The sequence below is a fragment of the Homo sapiens genome, chromosome 14 (genome assembly GCF_000001405.40).
Source record: "Homo sapiens chromosome 14, GRCh38.p14 Primary Assembly".
Lineage (NCBI taxonomy): Eukaryota > Metazoa > Chordata > Mammalia > Primates > Hominidae > Homo > Homo sapiens.
Window position 1 is genome coordinate 47,439,324 of NC_000014.9, and position 18,418 is coordinate 47,457,741.

At 36.5% G+C, this 18,418-nt stretch overlaps 1 protein-coding gene and 1 pseudogene across 4 annotated transcripts in view; both read right to left on the reverse strand.

Moving 5' to 3' along the window:
* MDGA2 (MAM domain containing glycosylphosphatidylinositol anchor 2) overlaps window positions 1–18,418 on the reverse strand; it is an 835,983-nt gene that overhangs the window by 599,701 nt on the left and 217,864 nt on the right. The window lies entirely within an intron of this gene.
* Window positions 4,748–5,201, reverse strand: RPS15AP3 (ribosomal protein S15a pseudogene 3; annotated as a pseudogene).

Here is an 18,418-nt window from a genome sequence, read left to right on the forward strand (position 1 = left end):
TCTGTTTGTGTGTGTATGTGTGTGTATGTTTATCTCCTAAATGAGTTAATGGAATAATTTATACTTACATAATCATTTATCACAAAATGTGCATAGCAATCAGTATCCAACAGCTAGTAGTCATTCAAGAAACATTTGTAAAATGAATGAATTGCAATGTTAGGTTAACATTCTCCATTGTCAGTGGTCCTCCCCTTCTGCTGTCCCTACTCCCTCTATGCTTGTGGTGATTCAGTTGCAGAAAGACACATCTATATTTCATAGCTGTAGAAAAATTCTTTTTTTGTGGTTGATTTCATGTGGTTTAAAAAGAATGCCAAATTATTTGTACCTACAGGGATAATGACCGACTAAATTTTTTTTTCATATATGTGCGTATGTGTGTGTCTATGTCTGTATGTATAGTCTAAATATTATTGTCCAATCATGGCAGGGATTATGGTTGTATGTACTCGAGTACCTAAGAGTGGGCCAGGACAGTTATTCACTAAGGGAGTGTGTGTGTGTGTGTGTGTATGGGTGTGTATGCATATGAGGGCTAGAAGTATTTTATTAGTCAGTTTCCACAATTGTTGGTGCATGAAGATAATAAAAAGCAGACTTACTTTTAGCCTTTTTTTCTTTTTTTTGGTTTGTAAATTCTTTACAGAAAATGTACCTTCTTATTGCCTGCACCTGGTGTGCACTGTTCCTACCACCTCTCTTGCTAGTGCCAAGATTCTCAGCAGAAACCTGCAGGAGTATAGGCAGCACAGTGCAGACAATGTCACTGCTCCATCCATACCTCTAGGATTGTTTCCCCATCACATGTGTCGGCTCCAGTGTCTCACTCCCAACAGCATACCCCTGAGGATCCCTGGAGGAAAGCAGCCCTTCAGCTGCTGCAGCCTGCTTTGCCTGCACACAGGAAAAAGTACACATTTGGGGCAGACCTTAATGAGGACGTATAAATATCTGGCCCCTGATCTGACATCTCTGAAGTGTGATCTCCACTATTACCAGAGTTCCCCTGAGGGACTATGTCCATGGGACTTTGTTTATCTCACATCCTTACTTGCTGTCCTTCCCTGTGCCATTTCCTCACTCATGGGAATGCTTTCTAGTACATCACTGTCTCATGAAACCTTGTCTTAGCGTCTGCTTATTGGGACAGTGATGGCAACTTAAGTCATACGTAATTGTTAAACCTAGGATTGGCAAAACTGAGAATCACTGGGCAATTTTATATAAACGCTTTTCCAGAGAAGAGTGAAAAGAAATTCTTCTAGTTGGTATCTCTGGTAGATACCATAAAGTAATAAAGAAAAGCTAAAATAAACCCCAGAGTCTAACTCAGCATGATTCTACACTTTCTGTAGGCTTCTGTAGGCTTCTAGAAATTCCCTGGAAAGGGAATTGTCAAAATATAAAAAACAGTGAGATCTTCCTCTCACTCTAGGGGTGCCCTTTGTCCCCATAGTTATGCTTTCATGGGGGAAATATGTGATTATTTCCTCTGGAATCCAAGGTATCATTACGTAAAAAAAATTTACTTCTCTTACCTCTGCCCTTTACCCTTTTCAGAGGTAGAATTAAATTCAAGGGTACAGCTAATAACTGAATATATGGTAAGTACTGATTTCATTTGGGGACTGCAAATACACAGTCAAACAAACATTCCATACCTTCAGCTGTATTACAATACAGTAAGAGTGACAGATCTGTGCAAAGCAACTATGAAGCAAGGAAGGAAATACATGCCACAAATAGAATGATAAACACAAGTCTATGGGAGCCAAAAGGTGAGACCGATGAACTCTGAGCTGAGTGATCAGGCAAAGTAGCAGAGCCAAGAAAGCTCTTGATGAGATCCTTTAATAGGCAAGATTTGATCAAGCAGAGTCAAGGACTTCCAAACTGAGAACAACATAACAAGGGCAGCTGGTCACGGAAACCAAGTGTGGAGAGCAGAAATAGAATGGGCTCACAATGCAGGTAGCACTGAGCCGGACAGGGAGCAGGCAGACTGGTGAGGTTTCAGGAACACAATGAATACCCGCTGGCTGGATTTCATTGACTGAAATTCCACTGACCAACTGAGGTTGCTCAAAATGCACATTTGTGCAAAAGCGCAAATTTTTAAAAAGTCAAATAAGTGACGGAAGTAAAGCAATTTTTTAAACATTCTGAAGGACATAGTAGGAAAATTAAGAGATAATCTAACTCTAATTACCAAAATAAGTATATAAATAAATATGTTCTCAACAAACTTACATTAAGCATCAATAAGTACAAGGTTATATTATGGAGCCATATAGACTCCCTTTCCTCATGGAATTGACAGTTTTTTGAAAATCAGATTTGTCATGGGTACAAACAACATACGACAACTAGCAGAGTATCACAATATATACTTGGTAGATAAACTACAGAAGTTAAATATGCTATTATGCCAATTGGTAGAATACTGTTAATAGAAATATAAACCAGTACTTGAAGTTTTAGTGAAACTTATTAATTAGACCCAATATCATGAGGACAAAGCTGAGAATGATTAGAAACAGCTGCCACAATGTATCTTGGGATAGAATCAGTGTCAAATGCACACATTCTGTGCAACAGAACAAATATTTTCCTATTTGATTTCAGAAAATAGATAACCCAGTCAAGTATATTGATTTAAGGTTCTATTTAGGAAAAGAAAAAAACCCTTCACTGCAGTCTAGTGAAGAAAAGATAAACAGGCTTGTGGTGTAGAAAATGTGGGGGCTCAAACAAACACTACTTGTCATGTGATTTATCATAGGTTGGGATCAATTTTTAACAATATAATTGATAATAGAGGCAATGGAGAGGATACTTTGAGTTCTTGTTTTGTGATAAGTGGTCGGTTAAGGTATGTATACATATTTATTTATTTCTTCACTGAACTTACATTTATTGAGTGTCTGTTTAGTGTCAGGTAGTGTTCCAGATGGTACAGACCTAATGGTGAATAAACAGCAAGAAAGGCTTCTCTGATCATCTGAAGAGAGACCTACATGAGAGAGTAAGGCAAACAGTTGTCTGTAGGCTCAGTGTTTCCAGCAGAGGGAGACAGGACAGGAGTTTCCAGCACAGGAGTCAGGGATGCACATGACCTGGTCAGGGACTTAGTCAGAGGAGGCTGGTGCACTGAGGTGATGTAAGCAGGAAATCTCACTGGAGATGAGGTCAGTAGTGAAGGCAGGAGCAGAGTATTAACAAATTTATCCTCACAATGATTCTACCTTATAGGTATTATTATACCCCTCATTTCCTACTTGGGCAAACAAAAGTTTAAAGGCATTAAATAGTGAGGCACAGCAAACGGAATGTAGGCACCATGAAGCCCAGCATATACTCTAATCCCCACATCCATCACCTTCCTGCGGATACCACATCTGTGTATTCGAGCCCCCGCTTATCCAAAGTTTTGCTTTCTGCAATTTCATTTACTCTTGGTCAACTGTGGTCTGAAAATATTAAAAGGAAACTTCCAGAAATAACTCCTAACTTCTAAATCACATGCTGTTTTGAGTAGCATGATAAAATCTTGCACTGGAATATGAATCATCCCTTTGTTCGGCGTACCCATGTTGTCTATGCTACCCACCCTTTAGTCACTTAACCATCTCAGTTATCAGATGGACTGTCACTGAATTGCCGTTCTTGTGTTCAAGTACCCTGATTTTACTTAATCATGGCCGCAATGTGCAAAAATAGTGACGCTAGCAATTAAGATATGCCATAAAGTACTTTCTTTAAATGAAACAGTGCACGTTCTCAACTTAAGGAAAGCAAAAAATTGTATGCTGAACTTGCTAAGATCTACGGTGAGAACAAATCTTGAGATCATGAAATTGTAAAGAGGCAAAAAGAAATTCATGCCAGTTTTGCTGTTCCACCTCAGACTGCCAAAGTTATGTCCAGAGTGCATGATAAATGCTCAATTAAGATATAAAAGGCATTAAATTTGTGGGTAGAAGACACGAACAGACATGTGTTCCAATTGGTGGCAATTGTGTTCGGTACTATCCAAGGTTTCAGGTATTCACTGGGGATGATGGAATGTATCCCCCTTGGATATGGAGAACTACTATATGACACTAGGAGAGCTCTAGCTTCAAAACAGATGAGAAATGGTAATTGTGTTGACTGGCTCACAAAATTAAAAGAATTAGACTTTTCTATATATGTATTTGTTTCCGTATATTTACTATATAAATATTCATTGTTCTGCATTTCACCATTGCATAATTCAGTTCATAAATTATGCATTTATGTTGTATTTTGTTTTTATAATAAAAGAATATCAAATATGGTACTAATTGTCCAAGTTCATCCTCAAATTCCTGTAATATTTCAAATAATAATAAATCCAGAATAAAAATTGAGATATCAGTAAGCTGCCCCTTGCAAAGAAAGACACCTTTCACCTGTATATGACTAGGGATGTCCCTAAAGAGGGAGGTCTCAGGTGAATGTTGGAATTTCGGCATCCATAAGAGAGAGGGTCCAAGGCCTTCTGCCTGGAAACTCCCAAGGATGTTCTTCAATCCTAGGCTTGTCCCTGAAAGTTGTACTTTTCCTTCCTACATAGGTTCTGGGGACACCCTTTTTGCCAAAACACAGTTACTAGATTATAACTTTATTGAAGGTATACATCTATCTTTTCCACAGCATAGGCTCTTGCACATAAGAAACACTAAAGAAGTACACGTTTATTTTACTTTTATTTTTGTTTATTGTCTATTGAGCATTTTATTTGTAAGCATTACATCCCTAGAAAAATAATCCCCAGGATTTTCCCTACTGTGCACTTTCATCTTGCTCCTTTGTGGTCCATGATGCCAGCTGAGGTTGTCAATACAACTAAACTGACTGGAGAAGAGCAGACTGTTTTGCCATTTTTCTAGGTCTTTGAGTTGTACATCGAAGTTGAGGCTAATCATGCCACACATGTTTAACCTGCCTGAGGGATTCGCAGCTCTTTTCCCAGCTGTGTAATCATCAATGATTTCAAATTTGCCAGTGTAACCACGCTTCATCATCACAGTGAGAAACCAGATGATGGCTCTGGAGCACGGCCCCATAAGAACCTGATGTTTGCCTCTCTTTTTAGCATTGTTATTGCTCTTGAGAGCATCAGCCAGGACAATCATGAGCACCATTATGGTGGCATGGAAAGATGGTGGAAAAAGGACAGAAGTACATGTTTAAATGAGAGATCATCTTGCTTCTAAATGAACGGTGATTTGATTGCCTGTAGGCCGCCTGCTAAGGAGTAAAACTTTTTACCTTATATTCATAAAGCATGCATGTAAGACTTCTGGGTTTTCAAAAGGGTCATCTTGTATTAAAACCTTGATTATTCACCAGACCTTTAAAAAAATGGAAGGGTGAACTTGATGACGGTAAGTAATTAGATGTAATGGTCACTAAGCCTCATAGTCTTAGCTTGTAATAGTAGTGAATCATGCACTCCATGAGAGGTCACTAAGACTGGATTTACCAGCTAAACCTTACTTTTCTCAAGTTTAAAGGGAGGAGTTGTACATTGAAATCTTCATATACCATAACCTAATTGAATAGTGACATAATACCTACTTCTAAGGACTATATATTCAAAGTATTATGAAATGTACAATGATGCATTTGAGAAAATTAATAAGTCAGAGATTAAGACTTTATCACAGTATCTGCTCTGAGGTGAGACTCTGTAGGATATGCATGGAGAGAGAAAGTGGAAAAGATGGTTAGTGTAAAGGTAAGTGCTAAACCTGGTGTATGGGTGGACAAAAGTAAGAACAGAAAACACTGATCCTGGTTGTCGCCTCAAGTCTCCTGGTATGCTTTCTCCATTTTTGAAGATAAGTGAAGTTCAGTGGTAGGGCATTTGATTCCCACACTGAAGATCAATGTTGACTATGAGGAGGAAGAAGAAAGAAAGAAGGAAGGAAGAGATAAAACACACTTGAAACAGCAGCAAGATCGTGGAAAAATGTCTGCTTTTGGCCACCTTCATCACCTGGCTGTAGCGACCTTTTCTGTTTACACACATTGTTCAGAGAATAAGCATCTATAGCTTCTGAAAGTAAATGTTTTCCCTCATATATCCCCAGAATTCAAAACAACAAGTACAACTTTTAAGTTGCAAATCACACCTTGCATACTCTATTTAAATTGTAACAAGAGAGTTTTATTTTTTCTTTTTAATTTGTGAGTTCATGTTCGCCAACTTCCTTTGTTATTAGGTGACAAGGAAAAGCTTCATGAAAAAAATTATTGAAAAAACCCAAGTGTAACTAATTTCTTAATTTGTATTCTTACCCACTCTTACTCATAAGACAAAATAAAATCCAGAGAGGGACAGCAATAAGAAATAGTGACAATAAGAAAATGAAGAATACTTTGAGGGATAAGCAGAAGGGGAGGGAACAAAGAGAAAAATTGCTGCACACCAACTTCCTTGGATGTCATGTAGTCCCTTTGTAAATTGTCTGGAACAAGACAAGCACAAACAGAAAAAGCAAACCAATGAGTCAGAAATGGAATTCAATTTCTTGATACCACAATAGTAGAGGTACGATGGCTGAAAAATAGAAACAATGGAACAAAATATAATTTATTTCCATAACTCTTGTAGGGACACACAAAGCAGTCTGGGTCAATACCTTATGTGACAAGCACATAGCTTTGTAGTCTTAGCCTGCAAAATTGTTTAACTATTATTTTTTCAAGAAATTCTCACAAACCCACGCCTATGTACAACTTTTTACTCACTTCCTTAAAAAAATTAAGAACTTCTATCAGAGAGTCATCCCTGTGTGTAATTATTAAAGACGAAATTTTACATGAAGATGTGTATGAGTACTTGGTTGGAGGTAACAAAGCAAAAACATCTTGGGAATTTTGTCTTCTTACCTACTCACAAAGAAGCAGGGGAAAATGTTATATTCATACATTGGGAATTATATGTGAGAAGATTATACAAGAAATCTGAGTGGAAGATTACAGAATCAGTCATTATTAGCAAGAATGATTATGTGTTTGTGACCCAGAATTTATCCTGGTTTCATTACAGCTCATAAAAGCCTAAACAGAGAGCTACAGCTTAAACAGTCATATTATAGGTTTCCCCTTCCTTTAGGGTATGGTTCACTGTGAAATAAATGAAAATACTAGAAATATTTTGGTGGGTGGTTTGTTTTAATAGAAAATTCTTTGTAAAAACGAAAGTGGGGAGTGTTGTCGGTGTATAAGGGTAAAAAGAGAAAAAAAAATTCTTGCATGATGAAGACTTGCAAGACTGAAGTTTACATAACGTTCAAAAAGATAGTTCTCCCACTTGTCAGTGAGATCATCCACTCTCCTATTCTGCATCTCCTTAGCTAGATCCCAGAAGTAAGTAAAATTAAAAAAAGCCTAAGCCAGGGTATGTGGATGTAGAAAATTTTAAAAAAAGTAAAAGACAGGGTGGGGGAGATCAGAGAGCACCCACTTTCTAAAGTCAAATTTAAATTGGTGATATTAATATCCATGATATTTATTTCAGCCCCCCTCTATTGCAGACTTAAGTGTGGCACAACAGAATTCTATTCACATACTATGAATGAATCTCATGCATTCTTGTAGTGACTCTAATCATTATATTGAATGTGCTGAACACAATGGTATAGAATCAGAAAACAACTTATTTTTTTCCCACACTATTCTCTTAAACCTGACCCATGGACTCATTCTTCCTTAACCTGTGGATGAAATATTTTCCTATTACTTCTTGATACTAAAATAGCTTCATGTTGCTCTCACATGCTAAATATCACCATTTTAGCAATAAAACTGTTTAGTCCAGGGAGCTACTGACTTCACAGAAGGTAATACTTTCCCGCATACCCTACTGTGGCTTGGCTTGGTACTGCTAGCCTGGGAAGTTTCTTGCTGAAGACAAGAGAAAGGTCAGGCTCTTATCTCACGCCTATCCCAATGCCTCTCTCTGCTTCCTGGCCACAGTTTCTGAATCCATTTAGGGAGTTAGTGCAGGGAAGAAATGGGACAAAGAAAGAAAAAGGAGAAGGCTTCCTTCGTTGCCTCAGGTGCCAGTGGGTTATTGGGCTGCCTTGTATGGTAGTATTTCCATACTAATGCTGTGTTTTCTGTTGTTGGATGCTTATGTGGGTTATATGTAAAATCTCCACAGTGACAGGAGACACAGCAATAAACTTCTCTAGCTGGTCATTTATGATGGCAATTCTTAACATTCTATGGGGGCATACAGTAGTCAACTCTACAGAGATTTGGTGCCTCCGGACAGCAGTCCTAGCAAAATTCTCGTTAAGTTCACTGTAGATGGTTCCCAGTCCTGTGATCCATTATCATCCATGGGAAATGTAGACTTTTGTTCTTACCATCAGTAGAAATGATTTCACTCCTAATGCAGTGAGCTCTCTCATAGATGAGGACACAGCTCCAGTCAAAGCGTATTGTCTCTAAATTTCTCAGGCAGAAATAAAATATCAGGGCGTTAGGCTCCTCTAAAATTCTCTCATTTGACTGGAGGATATGTGGTAAAATAAGAAATATGTATTTGATCTTGGTCCCTTGTTCCTGACAGAAGGCTCCTAAAACGCTTGTATTTTCCTGAGTGGGGTGATAAGAGTGTCTTTCAGAGTGACAAAGAGCTCCTGAATTCCTTGGAATTTTCTGGGTAATAGCAATCCCTCTTATTCTAGTGAGATGGGTCTTGGTGAGAAGGATAGCTTTTGGTTTCCAGAAAGATGAAGCTTTATTTGAGGCCTACTTTATTTATTTATTTTATTTTATTTTATTTTATTTTATTTTTTTTCAGACTGGGTGTTGCTCTGTCACCCAGGCTGGAGGGTAGTGGCAAGATCTCTGCTCACTGCAACCTCCACCTCCTCGGTTCAAGCAATTCTCATGCCTCAACTGGGATTACAAGCATGTGCTGCCATGCTCAACTAATTTTTGTATTTTTAGTAGAGACAGGGTTTTCATCATGTTGGCCAGGCTGGTCTCGAACTCCTGGCCTCAAGTGACCTGCCTGTCTTGGCCTCCCAAAGTGCTGGGATTACAGGCGTGAGATACTGTGCCCAGCCCGAAGTCTACTTTCAATCCCCCCACTCCAATCAACAACCTTTTAATACCACTCCCCACAACTTCTTGGAAGAGAAGAGGAGCTGAGATTTAGTAATGAGGTTTGGAGAACTTCCAGACAGGTGATGCTTCCATATGTTGAAAGGGTGGTGTACCCTAAGTTAGCAGGACAGAGGCTCACTTTTGGACTTCTCTTTATGAACCTCTTCAAAGCGCTCTTCATTTGTATGCTTTATAAAACAGTAATAGTAAATAAAGTGTCTTCCTGAGTTCCTTATGCTGCAAATTATCAAGCGTAAGAAAGAGATTGCAGGAAACCCCTGCATTTATTGCTAGTTGGTCAAAAGTTTCAGTGGTCCAGGACTTGCAGCTGGCATCTGAAGTGAAGGCAGTCATGTGGAACGGAGTCCTTAGCTTGCAGGATCTGATACTAACTCCAGATAGTTAGTGTCAGAATTTCATTAAATTGTAGGTTACCCAGTTGGTGTCCAGAGAGTTGGAGAACTGGTTGCTGATATGAGGAAAAATCCTACACATTTGGTGCCACAAGTATTGTGTTGGTAGAAACAGATGATAATAGGTGAAAAGAAAGCATTTCTCCAGTTCTTTCCAGACGAATCTTAACTCCATTAGATTCTTCAACTTTAAAATTAGATGAACAGCCAGGACTCATTAAACTAGCATTTTGTCTTTGCCTGTCCTGCAACAGTAGTCCAGCACCATTCCTAAAAATGTGAAGGCATATGGCATTTTTTTGTTCTTTACTTTTGGAAACTCCTCAATGCTATTTGTGTCTGAAGAGTATACTTTCATTTAAACACTATTATACCAACAAAAGCATATTTCATATTTTAAATTCGAGTTGCTTATGGGTCTCAAGCAGAAATAAATGAGGACTTTGCTACAGAAGGAGCAAAGTAGACTATTAGACTCACCTCTACTATAAATAAATTTAGAACATATTCTTAACTATTTTTTGTGCCTATTATAGTCTTTTCATAAGTAGGGACTGATGAGAATTGGCCACAGTGACTGTTTTATTTCAAAGGAGCATAACTTTTTGTTTGTAAATAAAAGTCAACTTAGAAATCATTTAATTTACCTTCTTAAATTACATAGATTTGACAGACAGTTAAACACACTTAAGAGGTTAATAACATTAAAACTATAGCTAGAGAGAGCCATATAATACTAGTATCTCATTTTGTAACTAACTAGATAGCCAAAAAATAACATGAAAGATAGAAAAAAATGGTTTCAGGTTTTCTAAATATACATAATCATGCAGAGCAAAAGCAAAGCTACCTAGGCAGACATCGACCAACTTTTTTATGCTTTGTGAAAATATTCCAGAATCTTGGTCAGAATGTGCTTTCTTATGCAAAAACAAAAACAAAAACAAAAACTCGTCATTTAAAAAGAGTTGCTACCTAAAAATGTGAAAAAAATTTTACATAGCCTAAACAGACTCCATAAATTCAAATTGTTTCATTTTTTTTGCAGTCATCATTGACAGATAGACAACCTATATGTTCTTTTGCTACAATTTAGTCACTACTTTTTAAAAACTGTCATAGAAGTGATACATTTATTGTGCACGATGTTTTCTATATATATATAGTGCAATGTTTCATTATAATTAACTAACACATGCATTACCACATATATTCTTTTTTCTTAATATCTATCTTCATTTGAAGGTTTTTTTTAGTACAGATAGCTTTTTATATGGTAAATGGATTTGAGGTTTACTCCTTTCTTAAAATGGGACTTAGCATGTGGTAACAAATATTAGACCCTCAGTGCATTTAAATATTAAACTTTGTAGAGTTGTCACTTTTCTCTCTTTATTTTCTCTCAGCAAAATCCTTTGAAACACATAAAATAGTATCCCCCAAGGCAAAGCAATCAGAAGAAAGGTATATCTCACAGATCAGACTTAAATGAGCATCATCTATTTCCAGCCTCAAATGAGTTGCAGAGGAGTTGCTAGTCAGAAATTGGGAAATAATTTCCAAGCAGTGCTATATTGACAATGACATCATTAACATTATTAAAGATATTGAAGAGATTCTCCAAATGAAATGTAAGGATAAAATTTAAAAATCTCAATGTCAAATGATAACATCTGTTTTTCATCAACTGTCATTTTGAACTATTCTTATTGCATCTATGAGAATTTATGAAGACATTTTTGAGAACTGACTACAATGTGATGCATTAGGATCTTCAGGACAGTTACATATAGCCTTTATAATAACGGGGAAAAAAGTTGTATTAGTTAATATGAATAAGGACTCCTTATTTTCAAGCTGAAGGGAAGTGCAATTGTTGCAAAAAATGGTGAGTAGTTTAATTTTTTCAAGTGATTGTGATTGGAATTTATAATAAAGGTTAATGAATAGAGAACTGAAGGACTTGCTTTTCAAATAACCTGAAGGATTCAAATTAAAAATTCTTACTTAGCTGAGGCACTATTAAATTAACAGTTGTATGGGGCAGGTGCTCTCAACTTCTTCTATTCTCTAACTCTTCTGAGAGAGATGACACATGCCAGTAACCATGGCTCACCACAAAAGGGATACTAAAATGGCAGCTACTCCCTAGAAAAGGTACCTCAGTGGATTCTTCCCTGTCTGTCTCCACTACTACAACCCTCTGACTCCTCCTTCATAATCACTGAAATAAGGCTTACTACCTGTAGGTTTTAAAGACTTGCTAAGCACCATACACTATAACCTTAGGAAGTAGCTGGAGGTCATTCTCTCCTACTCAGGGAAGAAGATCTCTAATTTGAACCAAGTCTATCAAGGGTTCTTTAAGAATACCCAAAGAAGGAAACTGGGATAAGGGAAAAACTTTAGTGAATCTGTGGAAGGAATGAAGTGATCATAAATAGATTTGAATGGAAAAGAATGTTTTGATTTTTTTTCCTGATCACTTTGCTCATTTCCAACATATATACCTGGTATACTAAAATGGACTCTGAGAAACCTAGATTTCCCTGTCTTTGGAAGCCACACAGATAACAGGATATGATTCTGGGAAAAGAGAATGTGGAACTGACTGCTAAAGCTTCCTTCTAATCTTAACATAAACTAAAGGAATCTTTGAGGCTAATGTATATGTGACAGTCTACCAAGATGAGAAAATAGATGCATTTAATGGGCCAAAAACCTACGTAGTAATAAAGACAGTTTTAGTCACAAGATTTCTCTGTGCATCTTTGTTAACTACATAGGGATAACAGTGAATACATTAGGCAGCTAGCTGTTCAATATAATGAGATTTCTGTCCTGCCCAGTGGATTTTTTTATCCTCCTCTATGTAAATGAAAATGTAGTAATATATGTTACAATAAAACGTTTGCCATTTCCCCACACTGACACAAATTAAGCAAATGGAAATATATACAGGCAAAGAAGAGAATTCCTTTGAAAGACTCAGTAATGTTTAGAGGAGAATGATATGAATAGTCAGAAAGTATATCTTGTACTGGTTTGAAGGAATTGGAGATAGATAACTTCTTTGGGTACATTTTGAGGGATGCCATTATGGAAAGGCACTAGATTTGCTCAATATGGTGCACATTTTCAAGGGCAAAATCTTAAAGAAGACATGTTTTTAATAGCTAAAAAGAAATATTTTGAACAGGATTCTTTAAAGATGGGAAAAGCAGCATTGAGTGGTAACAAGCAGGCTATCACACATGTATAGGCAGGTCAAAAGTTTCTCAGTGCCCTCCCCCACCACACAAACTTACACATACTGATGCATGATGTAGACATTCAAAACATGTTCATAAGATTCCCCACATTTTGCTGAAGGGATCCAATAAATAGATTGGATGGCCTGTAGATTATGTAGTATTTTGCCATATTACTTGAATACAGAAGAAACTTGAATGTGAATAAAGGTAACAATGAATGAAATCAACTATATCATGACAAAAGTAAATCCTATGAAAACTTTAAGACATTATTTTTTAGTTACTTTTAAAATTTCAACTTCTCTCTTAAATGGTGGATATATACCAGTTATGTTCTGACATATTGAGACCTTCTGGGCTAGGTGGCCACTGTACTGGATTTCATAAAAAGGACTCAACTATCAGACATATAGTTATAACAGATGACCTTTAGGAATTCTTCCAAAACAAAGATTTTTATCATACTGCAACAGAAATGACCAGTGGTCTACCAAAGATTTGTGCTCTCCTTTAAAAACAGAACTGTTGCTCCTTAGCACTAGTCTAACCAAGGATACATTTCCCAGTCCCATTGCATTCTAGATGGGGTCATTTAACTAATTCTCCAATAGAATGTTAACAGAAGGGATATTTATTAATACTAAGACAAAATAGCTAAGAAATTTTTATATCTTTACCATGCTCTCATTTTTTGTGCTCTGGTTAAAAGGCAAAAATTACATTGTTCTAGTGGAAGGTAGAGACATAAGACTGAAGGCATCTGAGACCATGAGTCACATTGTGGAAGGCCACCAACTTTACAGGCACATTATAGTAACTGTTATATTGCTGGGAAATATATAGTTTTATTATATTATGTCACTAATAATTTGGGGTTAATTATAACAGTCTACCTTAAGTTATAAAAATTATAATAATTTCTCATTTTCTAATAAAGTTTAAAGTATTTCATATGGTCTGGCTCTGTAATAATATTATAATTTATTACATGCTCTATTAATATATACATTTATAGAAATGGAAGAAATGTCAAAAGAGTAACTTTAAGTAAAGGCTACCTTTTCAAGTATGATCAACTGATGATTAGGCCTGGGCTTTACTTTTGATTATTCCAGCTTTGTCATATTTCTTAAATTCCTTTTCTTTCTCATATTTAAATATAAAAATTTTCCTTACAAAGGGGTGCTGTAGAGTTTCAAAGCATATTAAAGTCTTTTGTCTTTGACAAATTCAAAGCTCTAATTGCAGACTTGTGAAAAATAATAAATTTATGTCATTCTAAGACACTAAATCTGGGAGTGATTTGTTACTCAGTGAAAGATAACCGAAATAAGTATCATAATCATCTCCCTCACATAGTAAATTCTGAGTAAATCTTGAACTGTCTAGAAGTCTGTTTTACTCATTTCTCACTCTTCTTGGTAATTTCTTACCTCCTGATCAGACCACTGTCCAACTCTAATCCTCATCTATGAGCCAAATTGAAAAGTACAAGGTTTGAAATCTCATAATTTCAAGCCAAAAAAGTAAAGATCTTATGGATATTAGTTAACTAAATTTCAGAGCAGTCATTCTGATGAGTTGTTTTAATTATAGAATTATCTGAAATTCTTTGTTAAGCTCTGAATAATTGACTAATCTATAGCCAGTTTATAAAAGGAGCTAAAGAGGTGGAAGCAGTTGGAAATGTCTGATGAGATCTGATTTTGGGTGAGCACTGACACCTATCAGGTGCAGTGAGTTCCATGAACTAGAGTTAGCTGATGAAATAGGAAGGGGTATCTTTGCTCCTGTGAGTCTTCTAATCTCATGGAATATTAAGCCATGTAGATGAACATGTTAAAAGATGATGTAGCAGATGTTAAATGTCATGCTAAAATTATAGCATACATTACTTTGAAATCTTTGATTTGTCATATTATAGATTATGTACTCCCTCTGCTACTAGAATTGTGAAAACGGCCCCCAATAGGGAGGTTTAGCTTAATAAATGTAGCCTCTTTGTTCTTTAGGCTGCTGATCCAAGTGATTGATTGACACTTCATCTCATCCAGGGAGGTGGGAGAGTGTCATAGGCAGCCAACTCTAATTTTTGATGTCTGACAGAGCAAATGACATTCTTGTGACAGACTTTCTCTTTCCCTCTGAACTGCATCAATGTTTATTTACGATGAAGGGGAAGTTGGGTGAAAAAAAAGCAGTATTGTTTATCATAAATAATGATGTTTTACATTCTGCCTTATAGGAAGAGGAATGACTGGGCCATGGTATATTTATAACCTCAATATTTCTTTAATACTTTAAATACATAAAACACAGGACCAAAATCATCTACAAGCTAATTCGATAGTACTATTTAATGTCCTTAAGGTATCAATAAAAGATTATTATTCATTCTCTGTTTGTTTTGTTTTTAAAACTGTGTATATAGTTTTCACATTCTGTAAGAATAAGCTTTTACACATGTACCTGATTCTCTGAGCTTATAATAATTTCTCAGGTTTAACAGTGGTGGTGTCTTGATAAAAAGATTCTGTTTGAGATGTTAGCTTATGGGCACCTATTATAATGGGTGGAATTAAAAACCTGAAAGTGTGTTGAATGATTCCCTCAAGTAATGAATGATAAAAATTTTCTTTCAGGATGTCTGCAGACCTGGAATCCATTCTTTTGAGTGAGATAATTCCACATTCTTCCAAGCAAAGATGACTTTGAGAAAAGATTAAATATGAATAACAAGGAGACATTCACTCCTGGAAATGGGGACTGTTGGGAAGATAGCACTCACAAATGAACACTAATAACCACAGTGGAGAAGTGGATATAACAGTGTGATTGAAAGGCATTTATATATGTATAATCACTTCATTCAACTTTGTTAAATAGTCTAGAAAGATGAGAAAACAATATCATGCAATACCTTTAAAAAATATGAACATTAGATGATAAAGCATGGACATTATATAGACGAGAATAATGAAGCAACTTGTAACATTTCTGTTGTACAAAATAATAAGCCAAAATGAACCTGAAGGTGTGTATGGATATATATTATCTAGTTTTTAAGAATGCATTGCAGTCGGGTGCGGTGGCTCACGCCTATAATCCCAGCAATTTGGGAGGTCGAGGTGGGCGGATCGCCTGAGGTCAGGAGTTCGAGACCAGCCTGGCCAACATGGTGAAACCCCATCTCCACTAAAAATACAAAAACTAGCTGGCTGTGGTGGCACACGACTGTAATCCCAGCTACTTGAGAGGCGGAGGCACAAGAATTGCTTGAACCCAGGAGGCAGAGGTTGCAGTGAGCCAAGATCATGCCACTTTACTCCAGCCAGGATGACACAGCAAGACTCTGTCTCAAAAAAGCATAGGGGAAGAAGCATGTAAAAGAGTGGCACATTAAAGAGATCAACCTAAAAAGGCATAGTAAATATTAGATAACAAAAAATGACTTACCAAGTAATCTTGAATATAAGACAAAGAAACAGTAGTAACAGTAGTTTTGTTTGGTTTTCAATACTTATGAGTGAATGTAAATTGAAGGTTAAATATTAGAGTATGAGTGAGAGGCTGCGTGCAATGGCTCACGCCTGTAATCCCAGCACTTTAGGAGGCCTAGGTGGGTGGACCACCTGAGGTTAGGAGTTCAAGTCCAGCCTGGACAACATGGTGAAACCCTTTCTTTACTAAAGATACAAAAATTAGCCAGGTATAGTGGTGGGTGCCTGTAATCCCAGTTACTCGGGAGGCTGAGACAGGAGAATCGCTTGAACCTGGGAAGTGGAGGCTGCAGTGAGCCAAGATCATGTCACTGCACTCCAGCCTGGGCAACAAAGTGAGACTCTGTCTCAAAAAATAAAGTAAAATAAAATAAAATAAAATAAAAATTAAAATAAAGAAAGAAAGAACATGAGTGAGAATGGGCTGTGAAAAAAATACTGAGATTACTTGAATGAGTTTGTAACAAGCATTGTAAGTGAAAGAAGGAAAGGAGGGAAGGACAAGCCCTCTATTTCTATTGCCTTTTATATGACTTTAGGGGATATAATATTTTAGATTATTAAGAGATAATGGAAAAGTTGTCAAGAATTATAATGCTTATCCTAAAATAGACAATTGAGTCAGTGTGAGCAAGAAAATTGTTTACCTTTTTTTTTTTTTTTGAGAAGGAGTTTCGCTCTTATTGCCCATGCAGGAGTGCAATGGTGCCATCTCGACTCACCGCAACCTCTGCCTCCTGGGTTCAAGTGATTCTCCTGCCTCAGCCTCCTAAGTAGCTGGGATTACAGGCATGCACCACCACGCCTGGCTAATTTTTTTTTTTTTTTTAGTAGAGACTAGAGACGGGGTTTCTCCATGCTGGTCAGGCTGGTATCGAACTCCCAACTTCAGGTTATCCACCCATCTCGGCCTCCCAAAGTGCTGGGATTACAGGCATAAGCCACCATGCCCGGCCAATTGTTTACCTTTTAAAAGAGTTATATAGGTGTGAAACTATAAGATAGTGGACAAATCATTAGACAAGTGGGATGTTAGAATGCCCGTTTGTGAGAGATAAATAAATGCACACGATTAAATGGAATAAACTCTTTGAAGAAAGAAATACGATGTTTGAAATTAAAGGGCTTCTTTTCTCAAAGTTGCTGATATAGGAGCAATAGAAATATAGTGACTCTGTGTGAATATGTTCTGGTTACAAGTAGCACTAGGTCTTACTGAATAAATTTACTTAAGAGAAACACTTGGAGTATACTCAAAAAAAAAAACAAACCCTCATGCTCTATGTAGACTCTGGTCAGCACCTCAGATATTCTAGATTAATCAGTATAATAAGATCTTTAGAACCAAAGCTGACATACTACAACATCTGGCTGAACTTGGTGTTAGAGAGAATAATGAAGGAATATTCTGATAAAGCACATATGAGCCAACACACACAGTCAAAAGGTCTGAATTAGCTAATGGAGTTAGATAATTGTACTGATGGTAAATATTTTAACATACATATTTTACTACCAACTTTGAATGAGAAAATTTAATGTTTCTTCTTGGAATATATTCTCCCATAAAAGGAAATATTAGTCACATATCATCAAACAGCATGCATTTAAAAAAATAATTTCAATTCCTATTTTAGATTCAGGAATATACATGCAGATTTGTTAGACAGGTATACTGCTTGAGAGCATGCATTTTAAAAGGCACACTTTCTGCAAATATTTAATAAATGCAATGAGAAATACACTAGTACAAACTCATTACCCTTCGTAAATTAAAATACAATTGAGAATTAAGGCATGAAGAAATTTGAATTCAAGACGCTATGTGGTAAGCCATTCTGAAATGGTATAAACAATAATTTAGAAAACAAAAATGTTTAGAGAGAGAGGAGATAATATACTGTCTCCAAAGAAGACATTCTGAGTTAACTTCTAACAGTGTTCCTCAATATGACTTGTATTCTACAATGTTAACTCGACTGTTCTTTGCCTCGAATTTGGAGTTAATTATGTCATTTTCGTTTTCCTTTTCAGCTACTTTTAAAAAATTTAGTTTATTTCCTTTTTTAAAAAAATCTTAGCCTGAGTCCGTCTA